At 38.3% G+C, this 15,481-nt stretch overlaps 1 protein-coding gene across 2 annotated transcripts in view; it reads right to left on the reverse strand.

Annotated features, from left to right (window-relative positions):
- The window catches only part of GADL1 (glutamate decarboxylase like 1), a 168,465-nt gene extending 156,281 nt beyond the window's left edge, over nucleotides 1-12,184 (reverse strand). For both annotated transcript variants that reach the window (NM_207359.3, XM_047448071.1), the window contains exon 1: nucleotides 12,101-12,184. In NM_207359.3, the coding sequence (NP_997242.2) occupies nucleotides 12,101-12,137 (37 nt within the window). In that variant the 5' untranslated portion in view covers nucleotides 12,138-12,184. The remainder of the gene's footprint in view (nucleotides 1-12,100) is intronic.
- Nucleotides 12,185-15,481: the final 3,297 nt, after the last annotated feature.

Consider the following 15,481-nt stretch of genomic DNA (forward strand, 5'->3'; position numbering starts at 1 on the left):
GTTTATCTACATAGCACTGACAGAATTTCCTCCCTTTTTAATAATATTCCATTGTATGTATACACTACATTTTGTTTATCCATTCATCCAATGATGGATACTTGGGTAGCTTCCACCTCTTTACTATCGTGAATAGTGCTTCTATGAACATTGGTGTGCAAATATCTCTTTACCCTGTTTTCAATTTTTAAGGTAGATACTCAGAAGTAGAATTGCTGGATATGGTAGTTCTATTTCTATTTTTTGATTTTTCATTTTAATGCTATTTTACATAGCAGTTACACCATTGTACAATGTCTCTAACAGTGTACAAGTGCTCCAGTTTGCCCACATACTCTCCAGCACTTGTTATTTTCAGGTGGTTGGTTTTTTTTTTATAGTAGCCATCTTAATGGATGTAAGGTGATAGTGTGGTTTCAGTTTGTATTTCTCTAATGTTAGTGATAGTGAGCATCTTTGCGTACATTTGTTGGTTATTGGTGTATCATCTTTGAAGAAATGTCTTTTCAAGTACTTTGCCCATTTTTAAGTTGAGTGATATAATTGTTTTGAGTTCTAGGAGTTCTTTATTCACAATATTATCCGACGTATTATTTGAGAATATTTTCTCTCATCCCATAGATTGCCTTTTCACTGTTGATTGTGTCTTTTGGTGCACAAAAGGTTTTACGTGTGATGTAGTCTCATTTGTCTATTTTTGCTTTTGTTGCCTGTGCTTTGGTGTCATATCCAATAAATCATTGCCAAATCCAATGTCATAAGGCTTTCTCTTTTTGTTTCCTGATAGAAATTTTATATTTTTGGGTCTTGCACTACTTCTTTAATCCACTTTGAGTTGATTTCTATATACAGTATAATAAAAAGATCCAATCTTATTCTTTTGCATGTGGATATTCAGTATTCCCAGCACCATTTATTGAAGAGACTGTTCTTTCTCCATAGAGTGGTCTTCTAGCCTTTATCATAGATCACTTGACTGTATATGTGAGGGGTTATTTCTGATTTCTCTATCCTATTCCATTTATCAATACGTCTGTCTTTATGCTAGTACCACAGTCTTGACTCCTGTAGCTTTGTAGTGTTTTCAAATCAGAATGTGTGAGTCCTCTAAATTTCTTTTTCTTTTAAAAATCATTTTGGCTTTTCAGATTCCTTGAAATGCCATGTGAATTTAAGGATAAATTTTTATATTTCTGCAAAAATAATGCCATTTGGGTTTTGATAAAGATTGTGTTAAATCTGTATATTGCTCTGGGTAGCATGGACGTCTTAATAATACAATTTTCTAATCCATGAACACAGTATGTCTCTTCATTTATTTGTGTCTTTAATTTCTTTTAGCAATATTTTGTAGTTTTTAGTGTATAAGTCTTTAATCTCCTTCATTGGGTTTGTTACTATTTTTTATGCTATTGTAAATATTTTAAGTTTTTAAATAAAAATTTTAATTACTTGGCTTTTTAAGAGATTAGCAGTGAGAGAGCTGTGGAAAGACAACTGGTATCCCACTTGTCTAAGTCCTTCAACTCTAAATATCCTATTTGCTCATCCAACTCCAAATGCTTCCACGTCTTAGTCTACAAAATTCTGCTATTCCACTGCCAATAAGGAACAGGAAGGGAATGAGAGGGATGCATTCCATATGATCTTGGTGGGTGTGAGGACAACACTTTCTACGGTCCGTCTCTAACTTGAAAAGCAACAGCCACAGTAGTCACAGATCAGACAACATTAAGTAGAATATTTGAACCGCATATGGTGACCTGAGATGAAGCCCAGCTGGGGAAGGAAGATGCCTTCCCTGAGACAATCCCATTTCATGAGAACTTTGTGATATACTTTTCAAAAATTAGCATCAGGCAAAAACTCATATTGGTGATCTCTGATTCCCTTCCTGTGCAAGTCTGCAGCACCTGTCGAAGGGACAGTCCTTAAAGAGGTGGTGGCAACAGAAGCAGAACCAAATTCAGTTCCCTAAATCCACGAGAGATGGAATCTGAGCACAGGTTCAGGAAGTTACCAACCTCAACCACTATAACTTCATCAGTAGCCAAAAAAACTTAATCTATTTACCTCCTACACTTATTTTTCTATCATATTTTCTATCTGTGCTGTTTCCATTCTGAGCAGAAAGAATCTTTGATACCGCCCTTTTTCAGTTACACTATATTACGAGTGATAAAAGTCAAAGGTGTCCCTTCCTCATTATACATTGCATTTGTTATTTGGTTTGGAGGATATATTTAAACTAATCTTTATTAAAAATCATACTCCCCAGAGATTTTCATGCATATGTATACATATAATTCAATGTGATAAATATTTATTGAGGGAGGAAGGTAGAAAATACTTATTATGCCAGGTACTTAATAACATATATTCTCTATCAACCCTCACAAAACCCTAGGAGGTAAGCAGTGTTGTTTCTTATCACCTTTATCGTATGGGGGCAGTGAACTGATGGCTCATTGCTATTAGAGTCAGAACCCAAGCCTCAGTCTATATCAGAATAATGTTCAAACTTTGTTTTTCCCCTTTGCTCTCCTGACAAGCACCTAGTATTTGTTCAATACCAACTTAACCAAATATAAATTGATCAAGATGATCATTTGTAAAAATAAGTATTTCCAGTCACTGATTTCCTGGGATTAGTAATTCTGGCGTGTTCCTTAGCAAATTTCTAACTCCTCATTATGCCTTAGAACATTATTAATCTTTTTCCAGAATTGCACTGTTCCTCCATTTTTTGCTTCTATATTTTTAATTAATTTCCAGCCAATTATTTTTTTCTTCTGTCTTATCTATGATTTAAAGATGTTAAAATAAGTATCCAGCAACAGAGGATTAATTAGAAAACATTTTAGATTCCAATGTAAGAATTTTTTAAACAATAGAATGACATTCATGCCTGTATAAGATGATGAAAACCAAACCAGATGGATAAAGCTAAAAAGCCTGGCCTAAAGTAAGTGAGAAAAGCATTTAAGCAAAACAAAAGCTTCATCCCCACCAAGTTTTGTTTTCTTTTTGACAGAAACAATACAAACTCATTACAGAAAATACAGACAAGCGAATGAATCTAAGAAAAATTCTATTATCAACCCAATCACCCACAACTACTTTTAATTCCTAGGTGTAAATATTTTCCATTCCAGTTTCATATGTATAAATGGATGATTATTTTTCAACAAAACAGACTTCTATATAAACTATCTTTCAAACTACTATAAATAAGACAGCATTTACATTTTTATTTTAAATTTTATTTTATACATTTTTTATAAAATTAAATTTTATATATTTACTTTTAATAGAGGTGAGATCTCACCATGCTGCCCAGGCTGGTTTCGAACTCCTGATCTCAAGTGATCCTCCTACTTTGTCCTCCCGAAGTACTGGAGCTATAGGCATGAGCCACCGTGCCCAGCCTATGTTTTTAAACTAATATTTATTTCTAAGCAATTTAATGAATATGAATATTTTACTATTGGCAGAGAAAAGAAATAATTGCCAGAAAATTAATAAAGAGATCAAAAACAGATTAGCAATAAATTTGAAAAATTCTAAATACACATCAACAAAAGGCTTAAAATATAAAAGTTTGCAAAACTGCCCCATAATGCATCACAATGAAAATTACTAATATTTGAACTAATTGGTAAATGACAACATCAATTTTTACCAATCATTATAATGGTTCATGAAGCTAATACAAGAACTGTACTTGATCGCCTAATAAGAAGCCCAATAGATAAAATGACTTCATGCTTTTTTCTGGAATTTGAGGATTAGATTGAGGAATGTACTGTAGTCAAGAGGACTAGATATATCCAAAAGAAGAAGCAATATGGAGCCATTTCTGCACACCAAAAGACAAGGTGTTGATTTCTCACCACTAATTTTTACAGTATCCATAGTTTCTGCAGAAGTAAGCAAGACCGTCCCCCATGAGTAACTGTGCAGTTTTGCATTATAAAGAACAAACTATGGACACAACAAGAGCAAACTTGGGCTGGTGAGAAGAGGACAGGGCAAGGCCAAGGGATGGGGAGTGGGGTGGAATAGCAATGTCTGACAAAGGGGCATCATTGAAGGAGGGGACTCTGACCTAACCAGTGCTGTTGGAGCCTGTTGAGGTAGAATGACTTCTCAGCATGGGGTTAGCTTTATGCTAATAATTCATGTTGTAACTGTTTGCTCACCACAACTGCGTTATACAGAGAAGACTAGACAATTCTGATTGCTTTGCAGCATCCAGCCTGAATGGAGCTTCTGGGTCCCAATCTATATTGTTGTGTGCAAGGTCACAGCCTAGAGCTCCTGGCAGGCAGCATAAGATAGACAGTGGACAAAACCACAGACAATGGAGTTGATAGGGTACATTGGAGCTTCGGTCACAAATGCAGTCTGCTACTTCTTTCTACTTAATAATGATAATCATAATAACAGCAGCACGTACAGAATGAGCCAGTGCTAAGTGTTTACAGGTATCATCTCATGTCATCTTCACCACTACTCTGGGAGGCAGGCTCTGTTACTAGTTACAGATAAGGAAGCTCGACCTCAGAACTTGGGCAGCATGCCCAAAGACATAGTTCAGTGCCCACAGTGCCTAGACTTCAGTAACTGGTAGAGCCTGGACTCCAACATGGTGTGTCACCTCACCTCATTATAGCTGTTACTTAATAGAGTACTTAGCATATGCAGTCAAGGACTGAGAAGGAGGACACACTAGGGTTGTACAAACTGGAGTTAAAAAGAAGGTGCTGTGGTTTGAATGTCCCCTCCAAAACTCATGTTGAGACTGAATTCCCAATGTGGCAGTACTAAGAGGTGGGGCCTTTAAGAGGTAATTGGATTGTGAAGCCTCTGGCTCTTTGAGAAAGCATTTATAGATTATTGAGTTAATGAATTAATGGGTTATCATAGGAAGGGAACCTGGTAGCTTTATAAGAAGAGGAAAAGAGACCTAAGTTTGTGCATTAGCACTCTCAGCCCCTTCGCCATGTAATGCCCTGCACCACCTTGGGATACTGAAAAGAATCCCCACAAGCAAGAAGGTTCTCACTAGATGCACCCACTTGACCTTGGACTTCCCAGCCTCCAGAACTGTAAGAAATAAGTTCCTATTTTTTTTATGAATTATTTTGTTATAAGCAAGAGAAAAGAGACTAAGAGGCAGTCTTCAGGAAAAATGTTGAACCGTGAGCACAAAAGTAGTGAAATCCAGATTGTCAATTTTACAAGCTGAATGGCCCTGGTTCTTCAACAGGTAAATTTTAAGAATAGAAAAGAAAGAGAGAATCTATACATTAAAAAGACATATCATAGTTTCTAAATGGTAAAACTAAATTGTTATAACTAGCAATGCATATATGAATGGTAAAACTATTTTAAAAATGCAAGAAAGTAATGACAGTCAATGCTTGGTGTTCACAGGGGATTGGTTTCAGGTCCCCTATGGATACCAAAACCCGAGGCTGCTCAAGTCCCTTACGTGAAAGGGTATAATATTTGCATATAACCTAAGCACATCCTCCTGTATATTGTAAATCATCTCAAGATTATTTATAACACCTAATACGATGTAAGTGTTATGTAAGTAGTTGTTATACTGTATTGTTTTTGCGTTATTTTTTGTTTTTTATTTCTATTTTTTTAAAATATTTTCCTTCTGCAGTTTGTTAAATATGCAGATGCAGAAACTGCAGCTAGGAAGGGCCAACTGTACTATCAAAATCAGGATGCTGGTTACTTATAGGGGAGAAAAGAGCTCTGGGAATGGGGCACATAGAAGAGCCTTCTTAGACAATGGCAAAATTATATTTCCTCATCTGGGTGGTGGTTACGAGTGTACAAAATAATATTTGGGTGTTCTATGTGTGCATACCTCATAATTCAAAAAAGTTTAATAAACAGAAAACAGAATCACCATCGTGGAGTTGCGGAGACCCTCAGGAATCCTCAGAAGCTCATAGTGAAAGCCAAGTGGGAAGGAGAGAGAAGAGGGGTGTTCCAAAATCCCTGAGTGTCAGCAGCAGATTTAGTAGGGACAGATTCTGAGACATTTTTTTCAGGATTTTTCCCATTCCATACCTATTATCCCCAAGTGGGACGCAATAGGGGTACTGCCTTCAAATCAAGAGATTAGGACTTCTCATTAGAACTTCTTATTCTTTCTTCAAGAGAAGGAGTATATTAGGGCTGCATAACAACAAGGAGACAGTCTCAAGGGCACTCAACAAGTTTATCAGAGTGCCTATGAGGGAAGATATTAAAAATGAAGTAGGGCTTTCCTTTAAGACTGAAAAAGAGTTCCCTACATGAAAAGTAATGTGGCTGGTGGATCCTGGAAAAAGGGACCCTGAATTCCACTTCTGTCAGAAAACCAAAGAGGCAACCAGATGTTAGAAAGAAAACAATGTCATATGTTCCCAGAAACAGTGCGGAACCAACAGTAAAATTTTTGCAATATATATAAATGTATAATATTAAAAGTTTACTCATTCATACCTCTATTCGCAAATGTTAATTTAAAAACAGAGAAAAGTTGTATTAGTACATTTTCATACTGCTATGAAGAAATACCGAAGACTCGGTAATCTATAAAAAAAAAAAAAAAAAAAAAAAAAAAAAAAGAGGATTAATGGACTCACAGTTCCACATGGCTGGGGAAGCCTTACAATCATGGCGGGAGGCAAAGGAAGACCAAAGGCATGTTTTACATGGTGGGAGGCAAGACAGCGTGTGCAGTGGAACTGCCCTTTATAAAACCACTGAGTCCCTCCCATGATGTGTGGATTATGGGAACTACAATTCAAGATGAGATTTGGGTGGGGACACAGCCAAACCATATCAGAAGCCATCTTACTTTACAAAGTTTCTCGTTCCTGGAGCTGCCTTTGCAGACAAAGAAATGATATTCAATGGTGGCCACCTTGCAAACACCTCAAGCACACGTGCAAAACAATTAGGGAACACTTACACAGGAGGTATTCGTGAACTGTCAGAAAATGTATACATAACAAAGCAAAAGCCAAAAGCAGAAATGAGACCAAAAGTTAACCATGACTTACAGCAAAGCAATGTATTTAACGTGGCAACATGCTGAAAAATTAATATTCTTAGTCACTGGATTCCAGTTAACTTTTTTTTTCCTACTTTGAGTTTCTTTTTAAATCACGCATCTCTTTTAACTCAATTATGCAATTTTGGAATGCTGAGAGGTTGGAAACTACTGAAATGTTCAAAAAGAGTTAGAGGAGGGCAAATTTAGAAAATTAGCTGAGAAGACAACCTTAAGTGCCCAGTGACAGGTGGTACAGTATAAGTGATCTTATAATATACATAGTTTATATTTCTTATACTGCATTCCCTCCTTGTAAAAGCAATGCAAATTCCTACATAAGAATCAGAAATATAATCAAAAGAATTTAAGGAATATTCACAATCCCATCTACCTAGAGACAACACCTATTCTTTGCTATCTAGCCACCTAGAACCTCTTGCAATGTGTAGTCATTGTCCAAACATGAAATGCATTCACATAGTATTCTATACTCTACCATAATTTATTTTAGCCATCCAGCTATTAGATATTTAGATGTTCCAAACAATGCCTCTTTGTTTGATATGTAAATGGTTACTAATTTTTACTATTACAAACAGCTTCAAGGAGGCAAAGGTGAATATAAACTTAAGATTTAAATGCAAAAATGAAAAGAACTTAAGATTTCGGGAATCATGCATTGTCATGATTCTTGTCACTCTAAATCATTCATGTATGAGTTTACTGAACAAACACATGTTAAATATATGTACCTATTATGTGCCAGGCACTTTGCTAGATGCTGGGGATGCAGTAAATAGACAGATGTGTTCCATACCCTCATAGACATCAGGGAAGAAATAGATATATAGAATTACAAGCATGTAAAAAAGAATGATGATATGGGCAATACAGCCTTTACCAAACACATTAGAAAAACCAGTGAACAGAGATAAAAATCTTGAAACATCTGTGGTGGTAACTCCATTATGCCAGTGACCAAAATCCTTTCTGAAAATCGCCTCCCTATGAATCACCTGGACTCTTAATTCATTCTCCTGTTTTAATATGTAAATTAACTACTCATTCTTTCCTAAAACTGAAAGCCCAAATTACAAAGACTCAGCAGCAGACCAAATGTATAGAGTGTGGGGTAATCATGCAGCTAGTGGATATTCTTCATCAATAGGTGAATATGAGATTGTGCTTGGTAGCATTGTGGAGTTGAGTGAACATCACCATGGGCTCTTCCTGTAAAATCACATGGTGCTTAACACATTTCAATAACCTCATTAACTTTCACATACAATTTTCTGAACATAATAAGTCTATAACCTACTACCTGCCATGCATTGTGCATATTATTCCTAATCTTCATGATAATCCTAAACAGTAGATATTTTTATCCCTACCTTACAAATTAACAAACTGAGGCTCACAGAGGTTAAATCTGGTATCCAGAGACCCAATCTGAACAGGCTGTCGGCTAGAGTATTTACTTTGCATTCTTCCTTCCTTCCTTCCTTCCTTCCTTCCTGTGGTTACCAACAAGAGAACAGCTGTGGTGAGTCTGCCTGCTCCCAGGGTACTGCCTTATAAAATGGATTCATCTGTCATGATCTGAGAGGAACAGAATCAGTAAACCTACCCCAAGAGAAGGGCTGTTATAGAGAGTTCATCCCTTGGGATGCTGCCCTTTTCCCTCAGAGCCAAGCTGCTTTGATCCTTAGCAACCAAACAGCAGAGCACATATACATGCCCCTGAGAGAGGGGCAGTGAGCTGCCTCCTCAGGACTGCCACATCCAGCCCTACCATGAGTGCGAACCTCCCAAAACTGACAGCTTTTCTCCCCATCCTTCCCACTCAAAGAGGAAACAATGCTACTGTCATTTCAAGGAACTTAAAGCCACACACATCTCAGGGTCTTCTCCAGCATTCTTCCTGTGGTCCCAGCAGAGGCAGGCAAAGGAGGCTGTTCCAGGTCACTGGCCCATATTCTGTAACATAGGCCAGGGCCAGGGATTAGGTGTTAGGAGTGTAGGGGTGCGGGACTCTGGAGTGAGAGCCCTGGGTTTAACGCCCAGAGCTGATCTTTACCCTCTCCAAGACTTGGTTTCCTTAAAATAAAAAAAAAAATAAAAAGCAGATCATAATAGTATCCCCATTGACTTGTTAACGAAGGTTACATAAGATGGTATTTGTAGTTCGGCACAGCAATAGTAGGGACCATGCACCCAGTGATGAATTTTGCCTGTTGGGGGTTTCATTTAAATGATAAGAAATAAACAAAAAATGAAAAAGTCACAGAGAAAAAGAGAAAATCTAGAGTGGGGTAAAAAAAAAATACAGAAATTTTGGTCCCAAATGTCATGATTTCAATTTTATTACAACATGCCAGTCTTATAATGGTATATAAAAGCCAGCATTTCAACAACAAATTTTTGACCCACCATGAAAACTAGAGTTTTACTTCTCTTTTAAACATGTTTTAACAAGAATCAAAGCTATTCAGGAAGAATGGAAAGTTGTGCTATTATTTCAAGTGATAGAGAAAAAACATTATTTGAGTCTGAAGAATCATTCATTTTTAATATAATGAAAATTTGAATCTGATATAACTAATTGCTTAAACCTCTCTTGCATGTACTACAGCAAGATCATAAAAGATATCAAAGCATAAAGAGCAGAATAAGAATTCTTTATCTGCAACAGGATTCCCTATGGTATTCTTCCGTAATGTATAGGTCTGTAACAGATATTCAACAAGAGAATTTAAGACAAGATATCATTTAACATACGAATTCAATGTTACCTTCAGGATCTCATCATACATACTTGGAGGATTACTTAGTCTGACAGATAGTTGTCTTGTACTCTTTTAAGATACCATAGCAAGCATTTGGCATAATTAGGTGTGTTGCTGCCTTATCACCTGCTCAAGGATAACCAGAGAGCAACCCAAGAATTGTGGTGTTTTCAGAAATTCAGATTTAAGGCAAACTTTGAACTTTACTATTTATAAATCATATATTCAGCTACCAAAGCCACCACAAGCTACAGACATGCTTTGTTACAAGGTACATGCTTAATCTAAGAAAAGTAGATACCTTGGTTTTTTTGTTACTGTTTTTAAAAGTTTCTATCATATTTCTGAAGACTATGCTATATGGCTTTAAAACAAGAATTAAGGTTAAAAACAAAACAGCAGGGTTAAGGTCAGATAAAACTATTTTAACCATCCTTCCTTCACATAAAGAAGTCTCCTGTATTATTAGGATTCCTAAATAATCTATACTTTTCAATCCATTCTCAAATAGCCAAATATTTATTTTATTTATTTATTTTTTGAGACAGAGTCTTGCTCTGTCACCTAGGCTGGAGTACAGTGGCGCGAATCTTGGCTCACTGCAGGCTCCGCCTCCCAGGTTCAAGCGATTCTCCTGCCTCAGCCTCTCGAGTACTGGATTACAGGCACCCACCAGCACGCCCGGCTAATTTTTTGTATTTTTAGTAGAGATGGGGTTTCACCATGTTGGCCAGGCTGGTCTCAAACTCCTGACCTCAAGCGATCTGCCCACCTCGGCCTCCCAAAGTGCTGGGATTATAGGCGTGAGCCATCATGCCCAGCCTAACCAAATATTTAAATAAGTATGTGCTGACCCTAGAAACATTAAGAGTCTGACAAAATGCCTTAGCAGTTTTCAGTGTCAGTTGTTTTTCTTCTTTTTAAGTTTTATTGTTTTTAATTGAGACATCATAATTGTACCTGTTTATGGGCTACAATATGATGCTTCAACACATACATACATTGTTTAATGACCAAATCAGGGTAATTACCATACACCTGTCATTTCTTGGTGGTGAGAACACTGAAATCCTCTCTTCTAGCTTTTTTGAAATATACATTATCATTAACTATATTCACCCTACTGTGCAATACAACACTGGAATTTATTCTTACTAACTGCAGCTTTATACCCATTGACCTACCTTTCTACAGCCCTCTCCGCTCCCCAGCCTCTGGTAACCACTATTCTAACTTTCTACTTCTAAGTGCCAGGTTTTATTATGCCATATATAAAAATAATAATGATAGTACAAGTTTTAAAGTTTTTTTAAAAGAGCGTCAGGACAGTTATGCTGGAAACTCTCCCTGGGACATTAAAAGGTGAAATATTTGTTTCAGCCAAATGGTTTCTGCCTCACCAACTACTGTGCAAAATTCCCAGCCCTGAAAATGACTGATCCGCAGGGGACCCCAGCTGAGTTACCTGACCTACCTGTTGAGCAGATGCCCCCAGAGAGCTTCAACTTTGAGACTTCATTAAGCTGTGTTCAGCACAATTCAAAAAAGTTATTGATACAAAGAGGAGTTATTCCTGGAGGATCACTCCTAAAACGCCAACAACTAGTTAGTGAGAATACCTGAATAACAATAATGATAACCTTTCAAAGAAGCAGCAACTATTATTTTACAGAAATAGAACTAAGTGGCACCTGAGTTATAAAGACAGTTTGGAGGAATTCTGCTGCATACGATCTTTAAACAACTAAGGTCCCCGTTCTCAATCTGCAGCTCTGAACCAAAGAACATTAAGGGCATCACCTACTCTGAGATGACGGTGGCCTCTTTTAACCCCTGTTTATAGAATAGCTGGCTGCAGGTGAAAGGACTGAGATGATGCTGTCCTTGTCCCCCAGAAAGAAGCAAAATCATCTTTTTTACAGGGCAGGTACTTCCAATCTAACTAGGGAAACATGCGGCAGTTCGCCAAGCAGTAAAATCTCAATACGCATTTATTTAACAAACGCCCGTTATGTCTTAGGCGCGGTTCTTCGCGCTTTATAAAAGTTAACTCATTTGATTCTAAATAATAACCTTTTAGGTACGGAAAACGGAGAAAAAATCCATGAAGATGGGGACTTTCTACCCACCCCAGCCGCTTTACAAAGAAATAACCAAACTTCTAGTCCCCAGGTCAAAAATAAGGAGATTAAAACCCAGACAGGGGAGGTTAAGGACAAAAACCGCAGCCGCGCTGAGTCGTTACCGTCCACAGGACACTGGCGGTCCGAGTCGCTGCTCATCTCCGCTCCCCCACTCCAGGCTGCCCCGGGCGCGGCTCCCGCAGTCTGGGCGGCGACGGTGGTTGCCGAGGCAGCGCCCCCCGGGGGACCCGCAGGTGCACCAGGCAGCCGCGGAGAGAACACCAGTGCAAACGGAGGGACGAGGACGCGCGCGCTCCGTGCTCCTTTCACTTTGCTATCCAAGGCTCCAGTGCCAGGCTTTTGCAGCCCGCGGCTCTCTGTTAATATTTGGAGCGCTGCTGGCTGCTTTGCCACAGGCTTGACCCAGGGCCAGGGTCTCTCCGCCTTTGCGGGGAAGGGGTGGGGAAGTGTGTAGGAGCGTGGGTAATTTGGGTAGGAAAAGGCAGGGAGCACCCTACCAGCCCTCCTAGGATACAGGCTGGGCAAGGCAGATAAGTGGCTCTTGGCCTGGTGACCTTTCCAGCGTCCAGTTCTTTGGAGTAACCACTTCGCAGAGCCTCATCCAGCCGGAGGAGCCCCAGGCTAAATATGATGCCTGCACCAGGTCATCAGCTGAAGGAACCTATTTTAGGGCAGCTGTGGTGAACAGGATCCACTACCCATTCATTCAGCTCTGCCCTGACATTTAAGAGTTCTATAAGTGAATCCCTTTTCCCAGTCCACTTTCAACTTTGTGTGTGTGTGTGTGTGTGTGCCTCTGCAAAATTTTAAGTTTGGAAAAGGGAAATGGTAGGGGGTGCTGGGCATGTTGTTACCTTATAGTAATGAGCAAAAGGAGGTGGTAAAAGGTGAAATGTTGTAAAAGGCTCAATATTTGTCTAGTCTTTAGAGTAAAATTTTCTCCCTGTGTTTGCTCCAGCAAGCCCTTGGAATTTTAGTTTCAGTCACGTTCCTATTGTAAATTTAAATTTAATTAGTGAATGCGGCATTTTTGTCATTCCTCCAACAGGCTTTATGTTTAAAGTTAAATTCCCTTAGGAGCTTTTAACTGAGGCTGTCGATGGGATAGAAACAATCAGTTAATGCCATTTCAAAGCACATTTATGACAACTACATTTACGGAGCTGCATTTGTAATCCAGATCTCAATGGACTAAAAAAAAGAAAATCGCTTTACATTTGCAAATGCCTAGTGTCACTTCTTAGCAGGTGAATTTTTTTCCTCTGGCAAGCATAATTATAGTTCACATCGGTGAAGACAGGGCAGACCTTTCTTCCAAATAAGAATAGATTATTTCTAATATACCAACAACCAGAGTTACTAAAGTCAAGACCCTGCAGATAAATTTCAGAAAGACTGTGTAAGTTTCTGAGAACCCCACATACTCTTTTGTATCCAGTCTCAGCAGAAATATCACTGAGATCTAGTGATGAAAACGTAAATAACACTAGGAGTTAATCTTCTGTAACTCTATTAAAATATACTGAAAGAAGTGCAGTCGTGTGTTGATTAATGATGGGGATACATTCTGAGAATGCATATCGAGGCGATCCATCATGCGAACATCCTAGAGTGTATTTACACAAACCTAGATGGTAAATTCCACAACACACTTAGGCTACATGGTATAGTCTATTGCTCCCAGACTGCAAACCTGTACAGCATGTCACTGCACTGATTAGTGTAGGCAATTGTAAGACAATGGTAAATAACTGTGTATCTAAACATAGAAAAGATACAGCAAAATTATGGTATAAAAGATAAAATAACATGTTACATCTGCATAGGGCACTTACCGTGATTGGAGCTTGTAGGATTGGAGGTTGCTCTGAGTAAGGCAGGCAGTATTAAGTGAGAATGAAAGCCCTAGGAAATTACTGTACACTACTGTAGACTTCATAAACACTGTACCTTTAGGCCATACTAAATGTATTAAAATATTTTCCTTTATTTAATAATAAATTAATCCTAGCTTATTGTAACAAATTTAAAAACTTATAAAACGTTTCTATAGGCCAGGCGCGATGGCTCACGCCTGTAATCCCAGCACTTTGGAAGGTCGAGGCAGGCGGATCACGAGGTCAGGAGATCCAGACCATCCTGGCTAATACGGTAAAACCCCATCTCTACTAAAAATACAAAACAAAATTAGCCAGACATGGTGGCGGGCGCCTGTAGTCCCAGCTATTCGGGAGGCTGAGGCAGAAGAATGGTGTGAACCCAGGAGGCGGAGGTTGCAGTGAGCCGAGATCGCACCACTGCACTCCAGCCTGGGCAACAGTGAGACTCCGTCTAAAACAAACGAAGTTTCTATAAGTTTTTTAATTTGGTAAACTTTTTGACTTCCTCATAACACAGCTTAAAACACATTGCACAGCTGTACAAAACTATTCTTTGTATCCTTATTCTACAAGCTTTTTTTCTTATTTTTATAAGCTTTTTGGTTAAAAACTAAGACACAAACATACATATTCACCTAGGCTTATACAGATCATCAATATCACTGGTCTTCCACCTCAACATCTTGTCGCGCTGGAAGGTCTTCAGGGGCAGTAACACACATAGAGCTGTCATCTCCTATGATAACGATGCCTTCTTCTGGAACACCGCCTGAAGGACCTAAGGCTGCTTTACTGTTAACTTTTAAAATACATATATGTATGAGGAGTGCACTATAAAACAACTTAGTATATAATTAGTATAGTATGGTAAGTACATAAACCCAGTAACATAGTTGTTTATTATTAGTATCAAGTATTATGTATTATACATAATTGTATGTGTTGTACTTTTATAGGACTGACAGCACAGTAGGTTTGTTTACACCAGCATCACCACAAACACAGGAGTAATACATTGCACTAACAACATCGCAATGGCTACAAAGTCACTGTGTGATAGAAACTTTTCAGCTACATTATATTCTTACGGAACCACCATCATATATGTGGTCCATAGTTGACTAAGACATTAGTATGCGCACATGACCGTATACACTCCAGCAAGTTTTTCACTTTTTTCTTAGCATTTTAATAAGAAAATCCCCTCCACTCCACTTTAGGATAGTGACCCGCGGCAGCTGCTGCTAAATTTCATATTTCTCTGTGTGACAAACCAGGGCCTGCAGGGGCCACAGTCATTTTACAGACCTGGACCAAGACCCCCAATCAGGGAATATGCCTTTCAAAATTTCTTAGATTGAAAACTAGAAACTGCCCTATAGCACGCCCCTTACTGACTTATTTCAACTATCACATTTATTCCTGTAACAAAGGCATTGCATTATATTCTTCAATTACTAGACTTTTTCCCTGTGCCAGACACCAAGGATTTAAAGAAAAATCCTGCATTCAGAATAGTTTAGTATAATTGACAGAGAGATGCTTAAAACCAGCTAACCTTTCTTAGATGTTTTATTTTCAGTGAAAGATAAGGGGCATTGA

The sequence above is a fragment of the Homo sapiens genome, chromosome 3 (genome assembly GCF_000001405.40).
Source record: "Homo sapiens chromosome 3, GRCh38.p14 Primary Assembly".
NCBI lineage: Eukaryota > Metazoa > Chordata > Mammalia > Primates > Hominidae > Homo > Homo sapiens.